Source organism: Homo sapiens, chromosome 8 (genome assembly GCF_000001405.40).
Source record: "Homo sapiens chromosome 8, GRCh38.p14 Primary Assembly".
NCBI classification, from domain to species: Eukaryota; Metazoa; Chordata; class Mammalia; order Primates; family Hominidae; genus Homo; species Homo sapiens.
Genome location: NC_000008.11, coordinates 94,038,940 through 94,061,769, shown reverse-complemented (window position 1 = coordinate 94,061,769; position 22,830 = coordinate 94,038,940). Strand labels below are relative to the sequence as shown.

The window sequence follows — 22,830 nt, the reverse complement described above, 5'->3', positions numbered from 1 at the left end:
AAATAAGTATTTGTTGAGTTGACTTAAAATGGCAAGAATCAAACTGTTCTCAACACTTCCATGTCACGTACCTCTTCAACCAGGGCTGAGTGAAGTGCAGTCAGGACAAGGCTGGCTTCATTTCATGAGCATGTGTTGAGCATCTGCTTCGTGAGTGGGCACGAGCGAGGTACAGAATGATCCTTTCCAACAGGGAGCTCCTGTTCTAGTGGGGAGGACAAGCCACACACACAGCTGGGAATTCTCACAGGACAGATCAGCTCTGAAGGGCCTATTCCCTCCTGCAGGGAATTCCTCCTCCCGGGGCCAGGAAGTGGAGCTTGTGCCATCCTAATGCCCGCATTCCACCAGGGCATGGGGAGGGAAGAAAGTGGGCTGTGAAACTTGGCCTCAGAGAACACCGAGGACTCCTCACTTTCACCGCCACAGCATTTCACACTCTCACCCTCACCTCTGAGGTGAGCTGTGAGTTCTGCCTCTGGCTCAGTACCTTCAAGACATCCCAGGGCCTTTCTTTCTGTCCCTTAACAATGGCCATTAAAGGCGAACAAGGAAAACCTCTCTCCAGCCATCTGCAACTAAAGAAAATGCCCCGAGGCCCTTTAGCTTCAAGTCTGACCACAATAGAGGAGATCTTAGTATTTCTCAGGCTCAGAAAGAACAGGCTTCTCAAATCTGGCAAGAGATCCAAATTGGTGTCCCAACACGTCTGAATTTAAAGAAAAAAGTCACCCTATTTGTTTACTGATATTTGTATAGCGCAGGGTCTGGGCGTTCAGCTTCTGGCTGCCTTTCCTGGGATGGGGGCAGAGCTCGCGGGAGAGAAACACCTCCTATGAAGGAGACTAAGTCTGAGGTCTGAGGCAGCTGCTCTTTCAAATGCATGGCGGGCACTGAGCCCTGCCTTACAGCCAGGTTCCGTGTTGGGCACTCAAGGACAAGGATCCATTCTGATGCGCTTTCACCAGACAGTGTGCAATGATGTATGTCGCAGCATGGTGTTTTGTAACAAAAGTCTGTAGAAAATTTAAATTTAAATGTCCATTGCTAACAGGCCACTTAAATAAATTATGGAACCCCCATAACATGGCATATCAGGCAGCTGTTTAAAAGAATGTATTCGGCTGGACACAGTGGCTCATGCCTGTAATCCCAACACTTTGGGAGGTGGAGGTGGGTGGATCACTTGAGGTTAGGAGTTCGAGACTAGCCTGGCCAACATAGTGAAGCCCTGTCTCTACTAAAAATACAAAAAATTAGACAGGCACGTTGCATGTGCCTGTAATCCCAACTACTCGGGAGGCTGAGGCAGGAGAACCGCTTCAACCCGGGAGGCAGAGGTTGCAGTGAGCCTAGATCGCCCCCACTGCACTCCAGCCTGGGTGACAGAGCGAGACCCGTCTCAAAAAAAAAAAAAAGGCATGTGCTAATATGAAATGATCTCTAAGTTATGTTGATACGTTGTGAGAAAAAGAAGATATAGAACAGTGTTTATAGCTTCTATTAGTATAAAAAAGGGGGATTGCTGGGTGCGCTGACTCACGCCTGTAATCCCAACACTTTGGGAGGCTGAGGCGGGCAGATCACTCAGGAGTTGAGGCCAGGAGTTTGAGACCAGCCTGGCCGACATGGTGAAACCTTGTCTCTACTGAAAATGCAAAAATTAGCCGGGCATGGTGGCATACACTTGTAATCCCAGCTACTTGGGAGGCTAAGGCAGAAGAATAGCTCGAACTTGGGAGGCAGAGGTTGCAGTGAGCCAAGATCATGCCACTGCACTCCAGCCTGGACAACGGAGCCTCCAGAAAAAAAAAAAAAAAAAGAAAAAAAGAAGAGGGGATCTATCTATCTATCTATTGTTGACAGAAAAACCAAACTCTGCAAAAATATTTTAAGAGGTTTATTCTGAGCCAATCAATGCTCATGGCCCAGGAAAATAAACTCAAGAAGCCCTGAGTAAGTGGTCCCCAGGAGGTTGGATTACAGTTTAGTGTTATATTTCAGAGAGGCAGGAGTTACAGGCAAAGACAGAAAGCAATATGTGGAAGGTATACACTGATTTGACCTGAAAAGGTGGGATGTCTTAAAGCATGGGCTTGTAGCTTATAGGCGGATTCAGAGATTTTTAATTTGCAATTGGTTAGAGGAGTAAGGCTCTGTCTGAAACTTGGAGTCAACAGAAAGGAATGCTTGAGTTAAGATAAGGATGCAGTGTCAGAGGCAGCCACAATAAAATGACATGTTTAGCAAGATTGATGGCCTGCAGGCCTGACTCAACCCTTGCCTTGAATAGTACTAGGTCTTGTTTATAATTTGGTGTCTCATTGTCCCAAGAGTCTGTTTTGTCAATCTTATGATCTCTCTTTTAACATGAATGCTGGTCAGTTGTGTCTAAACCCCAAAGTGGACGGGGCATGATGAGGTTCATCCGACCTCTCTTCCCATCATGGCCAGGAACTCAGCCTTTAACGTTTCTCCCTGGGGTTCCCTTGGCCAAGAGGGGGTCCGTTCAGTCAGTTGCAGGGGCTGTAGAATTTTATTTTATTTTTATTTTACACTATCTATCCATCCACATACACACACAAACAAAGGTGGTCTGTTGTGGTTGTTGTTGTTTTTTTGAGACATAATCTCGCTCTGTTGCCAGGCTGGAGTGTAATGGCACAATCTCGGCTCACTGCAATCTTCACCTCCCGTGTTCAAGCAGTTCTCCTGCCTCAGCCTCCCGAGTAGCTGGGACTACAGGCGCGAGCCACCACGCCCGGCTAATTTTTGTATTTTTAGTAGAGACGGGGTTTCACCATGTTGGTCAGGATGGTCTCCATCTCTTGACCTTGTGATCTGCATGCCTTGGCCTCCCAAAGTGCTGGGATTACAGGTGTGAGCCACTGTGCCCAGCACAAAAGTGGTATTAAATGCTTATTGGCTTACTGTTGAAGCTCTGGGTAAGAAACTAGAGAATCTAAGTGAGAAGAAGACTTAACCTTTATTGTATATATTCCAATAATGCCTGAATTTTTTAAAAAAATCTTTAAAATAATGTTCCCTTTTGAATTAAAAGGCATACTGTAAGGAGGGTTTGGGACTCATAATTACTGTCGCACACCTGTTAGGCACTTGGTGGGCATTATCTCATTACCCTGCACAGCAGCCAAATAACAGGTGAAGGAAGACACAAACAGAGCTGTGAGAGCTGACTCAGGCCAAGTTGGTACCAGGCCCAGGGTGTTCAGAGTTGAGTGAGCTCCAGTTTTTTGAGCAAGACAGGAAAGTAAGGACGGGAATGCAGTGCTTGGTGAAGCAAGCCATGATCTGAAGAAGAGGGCGTGGCTGTTCAGGAAGCACATCACAGGGCACCGAGGACGTTTCCTCTGACATCCTGAGCCCGGAAAGTCGAGGAGGATCGGCAGGGGAAGTAGGGGGAAGTGCAAGGGGAGCAGGAACTGCTGGGACAGAGCAGGAAAGGCCAAGGAGTAGAGGTCAGGGGAAATGGCTCCCCAGAGGGGCAGGTACAGGTGTGATGGAGGGTGGAGGAGGCTGTGGACAAGCCTATTCCACACGACAGGGTCCTGCAAGTCCAGCTAAGGACCCAGCTCCATGCCGAGGCTGCAAGGAGCCACCACAGGGTCTGAACAGAGGAGGGGGGTTTGTGCTCACTCCTCACCATCGTCACCATGTTTTCTTCCTTTAACACTTGCTACTGTCTAAAACATTCTGTTTGTAGATTCTTTGTTTATTGTCTTCCTCAAGTACTATATAATCTCTTAGAAAGGAAGGACCACCTGGATCTTGTCTGCTACACCATCCCTGCGCCTAGAGCAGTGGCTGGCATGTGCAGGCACTCAGTGTTAAATCAATAAGTGGATATTGATTGAAGATTTGATGAGCATGTGACATAAGACACGTGCCCTGCCTCCCAGGATGGGAAGAAGACAGCATGCTGGTAGCTTCCACCTGCCTATCTGGATCCACTCCCCCATCTCCCACGATGTGCCCCAGGAAGGTGGGCTTGTAGGAGCTGTGCCCAGCAGCTCCCTTGTGCTCTGGCTTCTGGGAGGGTCTGGCCAATGGGCAGCACTGGCAGGAGATGGGAGAGGTCTTTTTGTGTTCTGTATTCTGATATTTTGCCATCTGGGACGCTGGGGTTCCTTTCTTAAGCAAACCAACCAATCCAGAGTCCATCCTCCCAACTGCCTTCAGTGCTACTCATTGGCCGGACCCTCCCAGAAGCCAGAGCCGCTGGACTCTGCTCCTACAAGCCCACCTACAAGGGAGCCGCTGGGTGCAGCTCCTACAAGCCCACCTTCCAGCAGCACATCAGGAGAGATGGGGGAGTGGATCCAGAGAGGCAGGAGGAGGCCACCCCCATGCTGTCTTCTTTCCATCCTGGGAGGCAGGGCCCGTGTCTTATGTTTTATGCTCTGGGTCACTTCTCTCTGCCCTAATCACCCCAAAGCCAGGTACCTAGGGATAGCCCTGCGCTCCAGAGCCCTCTGAAATTATAAATGAGCCAGTCCTAAGTCTGCTTACCCTGCCTCACCTGTTTCTTCCCAAGGAAACCAAAATAAAGGCTCTTTGCCCACATTTTCTCCTTGCTAATTTTGCCTGCTGACCAACAAGGTGCTTCCCCAGGTGGACCCATAGGTGGCCCCCCTGTGGCATGCCATGCTTCCTGTTGCTAGGGAATTGTGGATGTCAAAACTCCTTCCTTCATGACAGTTGTTTCATGTCTGCCTGCCATACCATGATTTAAACAATTCCTGGTAACCTTAAGACAGGGGCGCGGCGAGGTCGAGATATCTATTCCCTGGACGCCCCATCCAGGCAGCTTCCTTCACTACTACTTCCTGTGTTTGCCCTTACACCTCACCCACTCCTGGGTAAAGAGTCCCTTTATTAAATTCCTCAAATGATCCGACTAATGTGTGCCATCTGCTTCCTGCCAGGACCCCAACTTGTACAGACAGAAATACAAATCATTGTAACACGGTGCCCAGTGCGTACTTAACAGTTACTGAATGAAGATAGAATGAAATGCATCCAATAAGAGGGGCACAAGAGCTGAGAAAACAAAGGGGGCAGAAACCAGTTGTGTTGGGATTGGGGAAGTTTTGAGGCAGGATTTGGCATTTGCGTTGGGCCAGGAGGGATGAAGAAAGTTTCAGCAGGCAAGGATTGGAGACGGAGAAGTATATCCCAGACAGAGAAACCAGCTCAGAGTAGTGATGGCGGGAAAAGGCAGGGGTTGTGTGCAGAACAGTAAGAAATCCAGTTTGGCAGAAGGAGAGCATTTGGAAAAGACGGCACTGGATGAAGAAGCTTGAAAGATGGCTTGGGAGCAAACCACCTACCAGGGGAGGTCAAGCCAAGCCAAGGAATTTGACTTTGTTGCCATTTTGCAAATGTATGGCTATTGGTGGGGGCACCCAAGGGGTTTTAAGCAGAGGTAACATGGTTGGATCTAGAGTTTAGACGACACAAACAGAGCAGGGAGCAGGGGCAGTTGGAGGGAATTCTGCAGGTGGGGAGACCAGCCAGGAGGAAGAATCATGGCAGTCATCCACCCAAAAGTCCCCCAGACGACTAGTAAGCGCAGATTGGTAAAGCGTTCGGGTTTACGAGTCAGGCAGACCAGGTTTGAATTTTGGCTCTGCCACTTACTATGTAACCTTGGATATTAATTTACCTTTTTTATTTCTATTTCTTTGGGTCAAAATGAGGGTAACAATAGTCCACCCTCGAAGCTGTTGTGAGGATTAAACAAGATGCACACAGAAACTGTTTAACACATTGTCACATACTGAGTATGCTGAAGGTGTTAGCTATTATTGTTGTGTATATTCCAGCCATGTCTTTAATAGCATTCTACCATATACCAGCAATGTGTCTATGAAGCAAGTTCTTCTCTGTAGGCTGATGTTTTCCTGCTGTTAGCACACTGAGCACATCACATATCCCTGACAAGTCCTTAGAACTGTCTCCCCAAATCACTGCCTACGGGAAACAAGAAACATAAGCATTAGGTCAGAACTAAACACCAAATACTTCACATGGGCTTAGGGAATTAATTAATTAACTGAAATAGCTGAGAGGAGATTAAATACAGAACTCTTGAGGGAAAAAAATGTGCCACAAGAACAGGCAGAGTTCTATTGTTGTGGTGCTGCTTTTCTGTGATGTTGGTGGTAAGTCAAGTCCCAGAGACAAGGAAGAAAGAGGCTCAAATTCTTAGACAGATAATCTTGTCTTTATTACCCTCAGCAAAACAGATATTACTGAGACTGAAGTGATACAGCATTGCTGTAGAATCTGTGACTGAGGCATTACATTGAAATAACACCCTAAAGGACAGCAAAAGAGAAAGCTATTATCCTCCTTTGGACTCCTGTCCCCCAGCCACCCAGGTCCTCTTCCTAGAAGCAAGCAGTGTTACCAATTTCCTATGAATCTTTTTAGAGACATCCTGTACATAATCCAACAAAAAAACTTTGACCCCCTTTTTTATACAAACAGTAGTATACCAAGTACATTGTTTTGAGTTTTATTATTTAACAGTGTATCCTGATAATCATTATAAAATGAATACATGAGAGCTTCCTTATTCGTTGTACAGTTGCACAGTGTTCTGCCATATGCGTATACCATGATTTAATGAATCTCCTATTGATGGACATTTAGGTTGTTACTAGACTTTTGTTATCATAGCGTGCTATAATAAGTAACTTTATACCCATAACTTCTCCCACCTGTAGAGATAGCATGTTAAATGTGTATCAGCATTAGTATTTTGGGGATGGGGGTCACAGACACTCTGAGAATCTGTGGAAGTGATGACCCTATAGCGGATGCTGTTGGTGCCCTCCCAGATCCCCTTTACCAGGCAAATGCACACAACCCCCAGCTGCTGTGAGTGTGGGCTGCCCATGAGTCACAGCTGCCCCCTTCCAGAGCACCACTGTGATAGTGTGATATCATAAGAAATATGTATTTGGTTTCTGTCCCTGATTCTTGGCACACAGCTCCTGAAACCCTCGTATATGATAGGGGCACTACAAGAATCTTTTGTTCTAATATTTGGTCTTTGACCCCAGTTTCTGACATAGAGCTTCTAAGACCTTTGTAATTTCCTGAGTGATAGAGGAATCTAACCAAGAACTCCTAAATCCCTTGGAATTTTCTGGGTGATGGTACATCTTTTGTTCTAACTAGATGACTGTTGATGGACTCCTGGATAGTGCCAGCATGGGGCCGGTTGCTGGAGAACCAACTGTGCAATTACAGGGTTGGAACTTCTGGGAAAGAGAAAGGGGGTGAAGATTGACCTGTTCATCAATGGACAGTGATTTCATCAATCATGCTTATGTAAAGAAGCCTCCATAAAAACACAAATGGACTGGGGGGAGCTTCCGGGTAGCTGAACACGTGGAGGTTCCTGGAGGGTGGTGCACTGGGAGATGGCATGGAAGTTCAGCGCCCCTCCCCCATACCCTGCCCTGTGCACCTCTTCATCCTGCTGGTCATCTGTGCCCTTTGTAATACCCTTTATAATAAGTGGGCAAACATAAGTTCAGTGTTTCCCCGTTTTATGAGCTTCTCTAGCAAAATAATTGAACCCAAGGAGGGGGTCCTGGGAACCCTGATTCACAGCCGGTCAGTCAGAAGCACAGATCACAGCCTGGGACTTGTGATAGGCATCTGAAACTGGGGACATCTTCTAGGACTTGTAGGTCTGAGCCCTCATCCTGTGGGACCTGATCCTATCTCTAGGTAGACACTGGCAGAATTGAAATGAATTAAAAGGATACCCAGTTGATGTCTGCTGGAGAATTGGTTGGTCTGTCTGCATGAATGGGAGGGTGTCGTTGGGGGAGGAAGATCCCCTCCCATATTTTGGTGACCAGACGTGAAGTGTGTGGACTGTGTAAGAGAAGAAAAAGTGTCTCTCTTACAGCCACTTTACAAGAAGTTGGTCAACAGCCTCCACTGACACAGGAGTATAAAAGCCGGGCCAGTGCTCAAGTCAGTCCCTACTGCAGAACACCATGGGTTCAGGCTGGAGCTGGGTCTCCACTGAGACCGGACATCCGCTGAGACCACATTCTCTTTTGGTCCATTCCCCTGCTCACTCCTGCTCTCCTGAATCCCCCTTTCCTGAGATCACTCTCTACTGCACATAAATTCTCATTTTAGGCTCTGCTTCAAGGGTATTTGACCTAAGAAGGTCTTTCTCTTCAAGAAACAAAAATTTAAAAATACACGAAGGTACCCAGGAAAACTTTACAGATAATTTCAGAGAGTTCAACAGCGTTCTGAGTTCCAGATTGAGGAATTTCACATAGAATTACATGTGGTTCTACTATTAAACATCCTGAAGCATCCCCGGTCTGACAAACAGAAATGCCACCTCATGTGTGGGATTACATTATATTCAACCATTTCTTCTCTACTTCAATTTCTCTATTTCCTTTTCCATGAAAGATGTCAACCTGATTAATTTCCTTTAGAGCTTCAAATATCTAAATCAACAGATGGACTGTCCACAATCCATGAGTAACAACTGGAAATTTTTACTCCCAAATAGGTTTTAGTTCCCAAATGCACTTGCCCAGAATAAAGAATTTTAACTCTTGGAAAAGGGTGGAAATGAGAAATCTTTCCATGTTGCTCAAATGTCCTGATATCATTTTGGGGAGAAATATGAGGAATATATTCTCAATATTTTGAGGTTAAATGCCCCCAATTTCTTTAGAGGTTTATAGAATTCTGGGGGACACATTCTGCTGGAGTTTGCCAATTTCTGTTAACCAGTTTTTAAAAGTTAAAGGAAGACCTCTTTCTTAATAATTGGTAAACACAAATGCTGCAGATTCTGCCAGTCGAGTTTAATGAATCAGATAAATAGGTCATTAAGAATGCCTTTACTTTTACTAACTGTGGCATAATTAATATATATTTGGCCTTTATCCCTGGTTCCTGTTACAGAGCTCCTGTAACCCTTGGGATTTCTTGAGTGATAGGAGTATCTTTTGTTGTTTCTACTGAACCCCTTTCAACCTGAATTTATGCCAACAAAGTGACTCTCAGTGAGCCTGTAGATATGGGGGCTAGTCACCAGAGGAACCAGCCCTGTAATTAGAGGGTTGGAATGTTCAGTCCTATCTCGTGACCCCTTGGAGGGCAGAAGGGCTGGATATTGAGTTCAGTCACCAATGGCCAATAATTGAATCAATCATGTCTACATAATGAAGTCTTCACTAAAACTCCTAAACCACTGGGTTTGGAGAGATTCCTGGTTGGTGAACACATAAGGGTGCTGGAAGGAGGGTTCCTGGAGAGGGCAAGAAAGCTTCCTCCCCCAGGCCCATGCCTTGTCCTGTGCATCACCTCCATTTGGCTGTTCCTGAGTTGTATCCTTAATAATAAATAGTAAGGAAAGTGCTTTCTTGAGTTCCATGAGTCATTCTAGCAAATTATTTGTCCTGAGGTGGGTCATGGGAAACCCTGAATTTGTAGTCAGTCAGGCAGCAAGGTGGGTAGCTTGGGCACTGCCTTTGTGGCTATGTCTCAAGAAAGGGCAGTCTTGTGGGACTGAACTCTTAACCTGTGGGGCCGGACACTAACTTCAGGAGATAGTGTCAGAATTGAATTGAATTGTTGGGCATCCAGTTGGTGTTTGAGAAATGGAGAATTGATGTAGAAAAGACACCACATATATGGTGTCAGAAAGAATCTGAAATTAATCCCAAATGGTATCTAAATACAGCAGCTGAAATTTCCAAAGGGAATTATCAGGTCCTTATCTTTCAGTGCTATCACATATGGAGAGAAGTGACGGATAAGAGGCAGAATAATAAGGACACCATTAATAGCAGAGGTTATTTACTGAGCACCTGATATTAGCAATGTGCTAGGCATTGTGCTAATCAGTTTTCATGAATTATCTGATTTAAATCCTCATAACAACATCATTACGTGGGGCTTACATACGAGGAAAATGAGGTACAAAGAGATGTTCTTTCAACTTCAATGATAAATATGTATATCAAATCAGGAATCTCCAAACGTTTCCTGATGGAATGCACACTGAAGTCTTATAATTGCCCACAGTAGAGATGGGCAGAGGGAAAGAGAAGTCAGAAGTAAAGGGAGATGGGGTAGGAAAGACCTGCTGAAAATTTAAGTTACCCATAAATACGCTGTTGGTGATGCTCCCATCACCCTAACCATGAAGAGGGCTTCAGGGTGGTGATAGCTGACTAGAGGGTCCTCCAGGCCTGTTGAATGATGCTTGTGGGATTTCTTTCCTTCTTCTTCTTTTTTTTTTTGAAACAGAGTCTTGCTCTGTTGCCCAGGCTGGAGTGCAGAGGCGTGACCTCAGCTCATTGCAACCCCCGCCTCCCAGGTTCATGCAGTTCTCCTGCCTCAGCCTCCCCAGTAGCTGGGATTACAGGCACTCGCCACCACACCTGGCTAATTTTTGTATTTTTGGTAGAGACGGGGTTTCATCATGTTGGCCAGGCTGGCCTCGAATTCCTGACCTCAGGTGATCCACCTACCTTGGCCTCCCAAAGTGCTGGGATTACAGGCAAGAGCCACCATGCCCAGCCACTTATGGGATTTCTGAGATACGAATTAATCACAGTTCTCTCCCTTCTGGCCTCCATATTCTCTATCCATTGAGAAATAATTTCCACTTTTTTGAGAGCAAAGCTGAATTGGAGAGCATAATTTGGAACCTCAGACAAAATAGTGGTCCTCCCCAATTCCCCCAACTTAAAATTAGGGGGCTGGGCATGGGAAGCAAGATGGGGAATCAGGCCTGGCCCCACAACTTGTGAGTAAAAGAGATTGAGACACAGGTAGGGGCAGAAAGAGAGCAACTCGCCCCCATCAAAAAGTGGGCAAAGGATATGAACAGACACTTCTCAAAAGAAGACATTTATGCAGCCAAAAAACACATGAAAAAATGCTCATCATCACTGGCCATCAGAGAAATGCAAATCAAAGCCACAATGAGATACCATCTCACACCAGTTAGAATGGCGATCATTAAAAAGTCAGGAAACAACAGGTGCTGGAGAAGATGTGGAGAAATAGGAACACTTTTACACTGTTGGTGGGAATGTAAACTAGTTCAACCATTGTGGAAGTCGGTGTGGCAATTCCTCAGGGATCTAGAACTAGAAATACCATTTGACCCAGCCATCCCATTACTGGGTATATACCCAAAGGATTATAAATCATGCTGCTCTAAAGACACATGCACACGTATGTTTATTGCGGCACTATTCACAATAGCAAAGACTTGGAACCAACCCAAATGTCCAACAACGATAGACTGGATTAAGAAAATGTGGGACATATACACCATGGAATACTATGCAGCCATAAAAAATGATGAGTTCATGTCCTCTGTAGGGACATGGATGAAGCTGGAAACTATCATTCTCAGCAAACTATCGCAAGGACAGAAAACCAAACACCACATGTTCTCACTCATAGGTGGGAATTGAACAATGAGAACACATGGACACAGGAAGGGGAACATCACACACCAGGGACTGTTGGGGAGGGGGGAGGGATAGCATTAGGAGATATACCTAATGCTAAATGACAAGTTAATGGGTGCAGCACACCAACATGGCACATGTATACATATGTAACAAACCTGCACGTTGTGCACATGTACCCCAAAACTTAAAGTATAATAATAATAAAAAAAAAGAAAGAAAGAGAGCAACTCACATGCACGCAAGGGCATTTTACTCATTATCCTTGCCCAACAGAGAACGTGAGCATCCAGGGACCAGTAAATGTCAAACTACTGTCATCTTAGCAATTAGATAAATCACTGCCCCCATAGGAGAAGGGATTGAGAGGTTGGGAGAGGGACTAGAACTGTTTCCTCCAGGGAGTAGAATAGATGTTCCCTCCTCTCTATAAAGATGTGAGAAGACAGGTTCTGCCTCAACCTCCATGTCACCTTGACCTCCTACAGGAACCTCTGCCATAAAGCAGAGGTTCTTACTCAATTTTAATTTGCTTTCCTCTAAGGGATGCTACATATCACAGAAATAGCAAGATCCAGACTCAAATAGAAATAGGTAAAACAAAAACAGAAGCATAAAGAAACAAAATGCTTCAGGCACATTCTCTACCACTGATGAAAGAATAAACACTACCAGCGTGATATGACACTAGATGGGATTCTCTTGCCTACTTTACTTTTTCTTTGGATTTTAAACATTTCAACCTTAAAGAGCATTTTCATAATGCTCTACTCTCACTATCATGGATCCTGTAGGAAAGGGGTCCAAATGGCTATATACATATATACACACATATATATACGTATATATACGTATATATATACGTATATACGTATATGTATATATATGTATACATATACGTATATGTATATATGTATATATGTGTGTATATACGTATATATGTATATATGTATATATGTATATATGTATATATGTATACATATATGTATATATGTATATATATGTATGTATATATGTATATATATATATATATATATATATATATATATATATATATATGTATTTGGGTTATGGCCTGGAACACAGTTGCTCAACTCAAATTTGGTAGAACTCCCCAATCCATGCTGAGATTTTCCCAGGCAGAAATTGAGAAGCAATTTGCATGCTCTTTCACATGTTTGTAAAAAGCATATAAAACAAAGCATAGAAGTGCATTACTCCCTGAAACTAAAATTTAACCCATTGGGGGCGAGGTGGGGGGAAATCTGAATGTTATTCCTCAAATGGGGACATATGAAAATTGTATGCAAAAAACCCATAGAACATATAGCCCTTTGGGGATGGTGAAAATGTTTTAGATAGAAGAAAATCTAGATGACCTTGGGTATGGAGATGACTTTTTAGATACAATACCAAATGCATGATCCATGAAAAAAAATGGACAAGATGGAATTTATTAAAGTTGAAAACTATCTTCTCTGTGAAAGACACCATAAAGAGAATGAGGAGGCAAGCTACAGATTGAGAGAAAATATCTGCAAAAGACATATCTGATAAGGGACTGTGTATAAAATACACAAAGAACTCTTAAAACTTAAAAATATTAACAAACAACCCCATTAAAAAATGGGCAAAAGACCTGAACAGATACCTCATCAAAGAAGATATATTAAAATATACTCAACATGATATGTCATTAGGAAAGTGCAAATTAAAGCAACAATCAGATACCACTATACTATTAGGATGTCCAAAATTCCAGAATACTGACAGCACCAAAAGGACATGGAACAACAGGAACTCTCATTCATTGCTGGCGAGAATGCAAAATGGTACGGCTATGTTGGAAGTTAGTTTGACAGTTTCTTACAAAAGGAGACATCCTCTTACCAGGTAATCTAGCAATTGTGCTCCTTCCTATTTACCCAAGTGAGCTAAAAACTTATGTCCACACAAAAACCTGTACAAGGATGTTTATAGCAGGTTTATTCATTACCATTAAAACTTGGAAGCAGCAAACAAGATGTCCTTTAGTATGTGAATGATGTGGAAATAGGAAACCAACCAAATGAGAAAAGCACAGGCTACTGTATTAGTCAGAATTCTCCAGAGAAACAGAACCAATAGGATATATATATAGAGAGATATATAAAAAGAGAATTATTATGAGGGATTGGCTCATGCAGTTGTGGAGGCTGAGAAGTCCCATAATCTGCCACGTGCAAGCTGCAGGCTTAGGAAAGTCAGTGGTGTAGTTTCGGTCCAAACTCGAAAGCCTGAGAACCAGGGGAGCCAATGGCGTAAGCCCCAATCTGAGTCCTAAGGCCTGGGAACCCCAGAGGTCACGGTAGAAGTCTTGGTCCAAGGATGAAGGCCTGAGAACCAGGAGCATTGATGTCCCAGGGGAGGAGAATATGGATGTTCCAGATCAGAGAGAACAAATTCGCCCTTCCTCCACCTTTTGTTCTATTTAGGCCCTCAACAGTTTGGATGATGACTACCTGCACTGGGGAGGATGATCTTCTTCACTCAGTGGCCAATTCAAATGCTCCTTTCTTCCAGAAGCACCCTCTCAGGTTACCCAGAAATAATGTTTTTCCAGCAATCTGGCTGTCTCTTAGCCCAGTCAAGTTGACATATACAATCAACCATCATAGCTATTTATTCTGAACTTGCTATAGCAAGGGAATCCACCACTGCCGCTTGCATTTTGGCAGAGACTCAAAGGCAGGAAAGAGTGGGGAAGCTTGATAGTGGAGAAAAGGGAAGGCTTCGGATGTGCCCTGTTGGGAGGCTGTTGGAGTTAGGAAGCTACAGGTAGGCTAACTAGAAGCAGAGCATTGTATATGATTGGTTAGGGGTGAATATTTGGCTTTCTCTAGTTGAAATTGGAAGAGGGGACAAAAATTAGGGAAGCCGTCAGTTATTAATCAAGTTCTGGCCATTTGGGGCTGATTGTTACGGAGGTTATTATTTAGCTCCTGAATTGTCACTAGAGATAACAATCTCACTTCCTGCAAGTTGGACTTATATCAGGCTGGCTTCCTGGGTTGTTTATTATAAATAAAAGGGTTGGTCTCCCAGGCAGATTGCTGCAGATTGTGAGTTAAAGTTCTAGTTTTATATATGGTCTGGCCATTGTCCATTTGCATATTCAGTCTCTCAACAAATAAACGATGTGACATCCAAACAATAGTATATAATTCAGTGCTAGAAAGAAATGTGTTATCAAGCCATAAAAAAATGAAGGCAACTTAAATGCATATTACTCAGTGAAAGATGCTAATCTGAAAAGGCTACGTAATGCATGCTGCCAACTATATGACATTCCGGAAAGTGAAAACTATGGAGACAGTAAAAAGATCAGTGGCTGCCAGAGGTTAGAGAGGAAGAAGGGATGAATAGGCAGAGGTCTGGAGGATTTTTAGGGCAGTGAAACTATTCTGTATGCTACTGTAATAGATACACGTCATCTCTTGTGCAAACCCATGGAGTGTATAACACCAACAGTGAACCCTAATGTGAACGCTGGAGTCTGGGTGATAATGACATGTCAATGTCAGTTCACTGACTGTAACAAATGTGTCATGGTGATGGGGTTGTGTGATGGAGGCAGGGTGTACGTGGGAATTCTTTGTACTTTCTGCTCCATTTTACTGACAACCTGAAACTACTCTAAAAGCAGTCAATTTAAAAGGAAAAAAGTTTTAGAACTAGATAGTGTTAATGGTTGCATAACATTGCAAATGTACTAAATGCTAACATAACAAATTACATATTTTAAAATGGTTAATTTCACGTGAATTCTGCCTCCATTTTTTTAGAAAATGGGCATATACTTAAAAAAACACACACATAGTGATCATCCTAGCTTCTGACCAACCACCCTGGTTCATTACTGGGACTCAGAGGAGACCAGGCCTTCTTGGAAAGTGAAGGAAAGGTGAGGCCCCATCTGGGAAAGGATCCATGCCTAAGCGGGGAGAAGGGAAGGCAGGTTTGGTCCAGTGGTCATGAGGAGGGTGATTCAGAAAGTGAACAAGTTTCTGATGCCCACATCTCCCAGGTGTAGCTGTGTGTCTCTTTGTCCTCTTGTCCTACTTCTTGGCCTTTGTCACCCTGGCCTTGAGTCACTGTGCCCTGACAGCAGGATGTCGTGTATGCTCCCAGATAGTGCCAGAGTCCAAGGGATGGATCTACTCACACAGCATGGCGGGTGCCTCTCACCACTTACACCAAACCCTGCCCTGGCTTGTCCTCTCTACACTTCCTGCCAGCCAACTACCTCCACACCATGCCAGCTGCTTCCCAGGGCAGGTTCACAAAACTTTGCCAAAGGCTTTAGTAAGAATGGAATGACACAACTCAACGAGGAATGCAGCTGGGCACCAGGTCTCCCCTTCCTGAAGTCCTGGGGCAAATCTACCCAAGTCAGGTTCCCAGCGGAGGCCTCCCTCTGAGCCTAGTCCATCACCATGCTGTTGGTTCTCTTCCTTCAGAACATACGGCAGTGCTTCTCAAAGGGAGGTCTCCAAACCATCAGCGTCAGAAATTTCTTTAAATGTGGATGTGCAGATCCTTCCCCAGAGCTACTGAATCAGAATCTCTGAGGTGGGAGCATTTTAACCGGCATGTTCGTTAATTCCTCAGGTGACTGATGTTTCCCCACCATCAGGGGCTGCAGGGGCTGCGCTGTGAGGACCACTTGGGCTTTATTTTGCGCCCTCCTCTTCACAGCCTTCTCACTGTGGGTTAGATAGCACCAGGCATCAAAGGGGCCCAAGAATTGTTTTCCAGGCACATTCCAGTGTCAAAACACAAGCTCCTGGTGTCAAAATCCCTTTTAAGAAGCTTTGCTTTGTAGATGTCTTTTGAGCAGGTCGTCAAGGAAGACGTTTGTATCCCTAAGGAGTTGTCATCCTCATTTTTGCTTTAATTGCAATTTTGTGAAACATGAAATTTTGGGTACATCTTAACACAGCTTAGTCCATTACATCCCAGATACTCTTGTGATTTGTCATCTCAAAAATGTATCATAGGAAGGAAGGAAGAGGCAGGGGAGGCAGGGTGCAGAGCTGCAGGCTCCCCCACTCCCTGGCCCACTCCTTAGATGCAGCTCTGCTAGACTTGGGCTCAAGGTCAACTTGGCTTTCAAGATTTATGGTGTTACCTGAACTTTTTCCACGGTCACTCTGTGTATCTCTTCCTTCCCTCATTTTCCTTCCTCAGGTTTTACTATAGAGTAAAATGGTAATAACACAAGAGAGACCAAAAAGAGGATTTTATACATTGGCTTGAAGCTCATGTTACCCATAGTTTGGAATTGTTACCTAGTTACCAAAAGATTCTGGCTTGGACACCAAGAAAATTCATTTGACACTAAAAACTTAAAAATGCCAGATACAATCCAGTGTTTAGACAGGCCTGGCAGATGAAACATTCCAGAGTTGGGAAATGGTACAAGAACAAAACCCACTCAAAATCCACAGGCCTCTGCATTTATGCTTTTTCCCCTAACCCTCCTTTTTTCCCGTCGTCACTTAATGGCCTATAGATTGGCAACACATCTGTGTTCTGCCAAACATCCCTTCGTCTGTCACTAATGATTAATTGTGTCTTTACTTGTGGCAGTTCTACAGTTCTATAAAACCAAAAAATAAATAACTCTGGGCCCTGCTTTAATAAAGAAGGAAGGGGGAATCAAGATCTAGTCCCTCTGCTTTTCTACATATAGAAAAGCCTAGATAAGAAAACATGGCCATTTGTAAATACGTATTTATTTGTACGTCTCCCCTGCTGAACCTGTGTTAACCACAGAGCAAAGTCTGACTCAGGAAGTCTGGGGTGAGTCCAGGAATGTGCATTTCCAACAAGTTCCCAGGTGATGCTGCTGGCCTGGAAACTCCACTTAGAGAACCACTGGTCAAAGCCATGATTCTCTCAACCCTAGCTGCACATGAGAAGCACTGGTGGTGTTTTTGAAAACTTAATGTCTGGGCCCATCTCAGAAGGATAGGTCATTTCAAAGTCACGTGAGCACTTTTGAATCTCTCTAGGTCTGTGCTTGTCAATCTTGGCTGCACATTTGATTACCTGGGGGAGATTTTAAAATCCTGATGGCCAGGCTTCCCCACACCTCAACCCTATCCTCAGACATTAGTAGTTTTCAAAGCTCCCCAGGTGATGCAAATATGTAGCTGGCAGCATGGAGAACTGGAATTCTGGACCTTTATCCCTGAGCAGCTGCCACAGCTCAGTGTGTGGGCTTCAGAGTCACCCCAAGCAACCTCAGGAACAGTTTCTTTTCTGTTAACTGGGTTTTGAAACAGAGGCTCTAAACCCATTTATGTTGAAGCTAGAGGGTTTGGGTGGCATTTTAACATTCGTGCAAGCACGGAGGATCATTACCAACTCCTTCAACGTCAAAGAAGCAACCACTACGTAGCCTGCCTCTTGCTCCTCCCTTCCTCGAGAGGTGGGAGCAGAGGGTGACATTTTAAATAGGCTCAACTGTAGAGCCTCACTGGGAGGGTGACATTTGAGGGACATGGGACAAGATGTGAAGGAGCATGTTGGTGATGATTAATACAAGGTTAATCTGGCCCCACCTGGTGTGACTGCAAGCTGGGAGAGGAGGAGCAGACCCACAAACATCCCAAGAAGTACCTGGGGAGAAAGGTCTGGGAAGGCCTGCTGGGATGCTCAGGACAGCGGGGGCATTCGGGGGCCTGGGGTGCTCCAGGACAAGTCAGGAGGGGACCCACTAGGGACCCAGGGAAGCTTGGAAAACACTATTTGGCTGAGGTCTGGTTGCTAAATATGGCTTTTTTGATGAAGGACCCAAAGGACACACTTTTGGCTGGGTGCAGTGGCTCATGCCTGTAATACCAGCACTGTGGGAGGCCGAGGTGGGTGGATCACCTGAGGTCAGGAGTTCAAGACCAGCCTGGCCAACGTGATGAAATCCTGTCTCTACTAAAAAATACAAAAATTAGCCAGGTGTGGTCGCGGGCACCTGTAATCCCAGCTACTTTGGGGTCCGAGGCAGGAGAATCGTTTGAACCTGGGATGCGGAGGTTGCAGTGAGCCGAGGTCGCAACATTGCACTACAGCCTGGGCAACAGGAGCAAAACTCTGTCCAAAAAAAAAGACACACTTTCTCTTCTAAAGTGGTAGTTTAGACTAAGCCACTTTCGGGAAGAATTCTTGACCACATGGCCTTTAAACCTGAAAGAGACCTGAAAGATCATCTGGTGTCCTTTTCAACCTATGTTTCACAGAGCTCTGGGGCTCCCAAAGTTTCTTTAGGGGATCCAGTAGGAGACAAAGTGGGAGGCAAGAACTGCGGTGGACCCCAGGAGTGGCTTGGGGGGACTTTAACCCCCCATGGCAGAAAGTCTGGTGAGCAGTGTACTAGCTTTGCAGCACCGAGACAATAGACAGCACAGGCTGCCTGCTCACTCCAGCCAGGTACTCTTTTAAGCACTCTGCATGTTTGAGTCCATTTAATACTTAGCAACTCTTTGAGATAATTCTATAGCTTATTACTATTAATAATAAGGAAAGACACCAAGAGAGGCCAAAAACTAGTCTCAGACCACAGAGCTGTAAGTGGCTGAGCTGGGACTCACACTCTGGCAGCCTGGTTCTAGATGCCATGCTCCACCACCATGCTGTGCCCGATCCGTACTGCTGTGCCTACCATACCATCCCAGTAGCAGCCTGTAAGCCTTCTAGCATCCTCTTGGCCACACAAGAAAGGCTCAAGGCTTCCCCACCTACAGTTCAACCAGAGTTCCTCCAAGTTTACCCCAGCGTGGCACGGCCCCTTCTTTTTTATCTCCAAGTGTCTGCCACCATCCATGCCATGACAGATCAGTAGTGTGTCTCCTGATTCCATATGGTGGGGCAGGCAGAGCGATGCAATTCCTTCTCCTCTGGAGCTCTTCCGAACGGTAACTGGTACTGGCAGCATGTGCCTTTCCCAGGTAGCCAGACTCACAGGTTTCCCCTAGGCCAATCAGGCAGAACCACAGTCTAGGGACTCTTTACCAAAAGGCCAAAGGGCCAGGTAAGTGGCAGAATGGAAAAAAGGCAGGACAAAACCTGGCCCTCTCTCTAGCTCAGGTGTTCTCCTGGACTTTGCCATAGAAGGCCCTTCCAACTCCTTCTGTCTGCAAAGAGAAGGCCCCGGCCCCATGGTGTCCACCTCCCTTCCCCACCTCATTTTCTCTCCAGAAGAGAACTGCCCCTTCTTTACCCTCTTCAAATCTTACTCTGGGCCTTACTGCCCCACTTCCCCGACTCTCCATCTTCTGTAAATGGGGAGGATGAGGTTCTGACCCTTGGTTCTACTCACTGGCCCTCAGGTTGCTTTGGATGCTCTGAGGTTTTTCTTGGAGTTTGCAGGGAGAGCTGTGGGGGCACTGAGCCCACTCAGCTGCACTGGGCGCCCCTCTTGCAGTTCAGCCTCCTAGTAGAAAGAGACATTTTGAGGAGGAGGCTGGGCAGTAACCTTGGCAAAAGCACTTTGCTAGTTTCTATTGGAAACCATGCAGCTTCGTATCTAAGGATGCCATTTCTCCTCTTAGCAGACCTTGCACCATTTGGAATAACCTTTATTCTCTAAGTCTGGCTGTGGGCCTTGCCCCTTGGAACCCACTGGGCCCCACAATTATGGTGCTTCTCTGCCTGCCCTGAGGCTGTCTGCCTTGTAGGTGAAATTTCACTCACTATAAATGGACCTTCATTTCTATCCAGGAGGAATGGCACTAGATTCTGTACTTAAACTTTTAAAAAATACTCTGATATTCTTGATTTAGGTGGGGGTGACACAGGCTTTTCATATAGACATACATTTATAGGCATTCCAGGTAAATTTTGGGTTTAAAAAAGAAGCCCATGCTTGGTGGCAGGGCAGGGGAGTGGGGGTGGGCAGAATTCTGAAAACAGATATTGAGTCTTTGTATTTCATTTTATATTTGAGGAAACTCAGCCCAAAGAGATGTCTCTGACAGGGTTACTGAGCTCTCCTTTCACAAAAGAAGAATAAGCCTTATGTTTCCCATGAAGCAGTTTTTACAAAGAATGGGGCTGCAGCTCCTTCTAGAATAACGTGTAGAGTAACGTGTGGGGTCCCAGCCCGTGCTTTGTTCCCCTTGAGCATCTCTCTGACTGGCCATTTCTTTTGCAATAACTTGGACGGAAAGTGTGGCAAGGTACAATTGAATGTTATTATTTCAAGGGTAGAACATGTCTGTGCTCAATCCTTCTCCTTGCTGGGCTGTTTCAAGGCCTGCGCCTCGGGTGTCTGCATTCCTCAAGGCTAAATCTGATCCCTGGGAATGTAGCTGTTTTTCTTCCTAGATTCTGGGCAGTTTGCTTAAGATAAGGAGATGGCAAATAGGCAGAATTTGGAGTTATTAAAGGAAAGATTGGAAAGGCAATTGCACAGTCTATACCTGTACTGGCACAGATGACATCATCCCTGGGGAGGGGACTTCAGGCGTAGGGAGGAGACTGCCTCCAGACAGCGCCTGGTTACTGCCATTATAAAGAGAAATTCAGCCAGGCGCAGTGGCTCACATCACTTTGGGAGGCCAAGGCAGGAGGTTTGCTTGAGACCAGGAGTTTGAGACCAGCCAGGGCAATGTAGCAAGACCCCATCTCTACAAAAACATTAAAAAAATTAGACGGGCATGGTAGTATGCACCTGTTGTCCCCAGTACTGAGGAGGCTGAAGTGGAGGATCACTCGAACCCAGGAGTTTGAGGCTGCAGTGAGCTATGATAATGGCACTGTACTCCAGCCTGGGTGACAGAGGGAGACCCTGTCCTAAATAAATAAATAAATAAATAAATAAATAAACAAACAAACAAGAGAAATCACCCTTCACTTGTTTTCTTTCCTCCTTTGGGAATGTCCCTATATGACTAATTCTTACCCCAAGGCTGCTGTGAGATTGGAGTGGAGCAGAGTGAGAAGCAAGAAATGATAGTGGCTAAGAGCTCAAATTCTGAGTCAAAAACCACCTGCAATCCCAGCTGATCTTCTGCTCCCAGATCTCCATTTTCTCATCTTTATATGGGGTGAGAACAGCATCTCCCTCATATCATGATTATGACAATTCAATCAGATAATGTGACACTTTTGGAAGAAGTTGTCTGTAGTGTGTTTTGCTTCCTTGTCTTGTTGTGTCTCCTTGGCCCTCATCACCTGGTCACTAATGATCTGCACGTGGCAAACCCAGTGGCTGCTCCTCCGTGACAATGATTCTACGTGACCTGTCTGAAATGCTCAACACAGCCGCGGGCCCTCTCCTCTCCTGGCCTCTGCGACAGCACCTTGCCCTCCTCCCCGTTTCTCACTGGCCCCTCCTTGGCCTTTGATGTCTCTTCATGCTCTTTCTCAGGGCTGTGTGCTTCCTTCCCTCCCTTTCATCCTCCCCCAGGGTGATTCTATCCAGTCCCAGGGCTTCAGGTGCCATCTGGAAGCCAACGATGCCCAAATCTGTATCACCAGCCTTGACCTTCTCCAAGAATGTCACACTGAGGTATCCAACTTCCTATTGGACATTGCCACTTAAGTGCCTAATGGTCATTCCATACTTCCTGTGGCCAGAAAAATACCCTGAATTCTTACTCCCCACCCCTCACTCAAAAGAGCCTGCTTCTTGGTCTTGCTTCTAGGAGTTATCTTCAGTTGTTCTTTCCTTTGCAGCCTCCTTCCGCTCACCTCCTGCCACTTCCATCTAATCCATGAGCCTGTCCTGTCAACCACATCTTAAACACTTGCCTTGGATCCACCCATCTCTCTCCATCTCCACTGGTACCACCCCAATCCACGCCCCTTTATCTTGTTCCTGGGCTGGTCACTAACCTCCCTGCTTGCCTTCCTGCCCTGCTGCAATCATGCTCCTTACCCTGGCAGGATCATGTCCTGGCCAGCCCCGACCAGGCCCCCATCCATTCTCTCCCTCATCCATTCCACTGCAGCCATACTGACCCTCTTACTATTCCTCACACTTGCTAAATTCATTCTTGCTTTACAGCTTTTGCTTGACAGGTCTGCTACCCTCTTTGCTCTGACAGGTTGGCTGCTTCTTATCAAGGTCTCAGCTTGTGTCAATTTCTCAGAGAGGCTGTCTCAAACCATCCAAAGTCACCACTGAGTTGTTTGCTATTTCATCATGTTTGCCAGTTCTAATCTACTACATAGCATTTATCAAAATGAGATGGTTTTCTCATCTTTTTAAGTTGCCTGTTTATCACCGCTAGAACATGAACTTCTTCAGAATAGGTGCCAAGGAAACAATGGGGGC

The 22,830-nt window shown here is 45.3% G+C and overlaps 1 annotated feature.

Moving 5' to 3' along the window:
- Positions 254–817: an enhancer, noted in NCBI's record as "NANOG-H3K27ac-H3K4me1 hESC enhancer chr8:95073181-95073744 (GRCh37/hg19 assembly coordinates)". NCBI's record gives its function as "activates a minimal SCP1, AML or CMV promoter by ChIP-STARR-seq in naive H9 embryonic stem cells {active_cell/tissue: H9 hESC(naive)}" and the evidence as "EXISTENCE:reporter gene assay evidence [ECO:0000049][PMID:30033119]".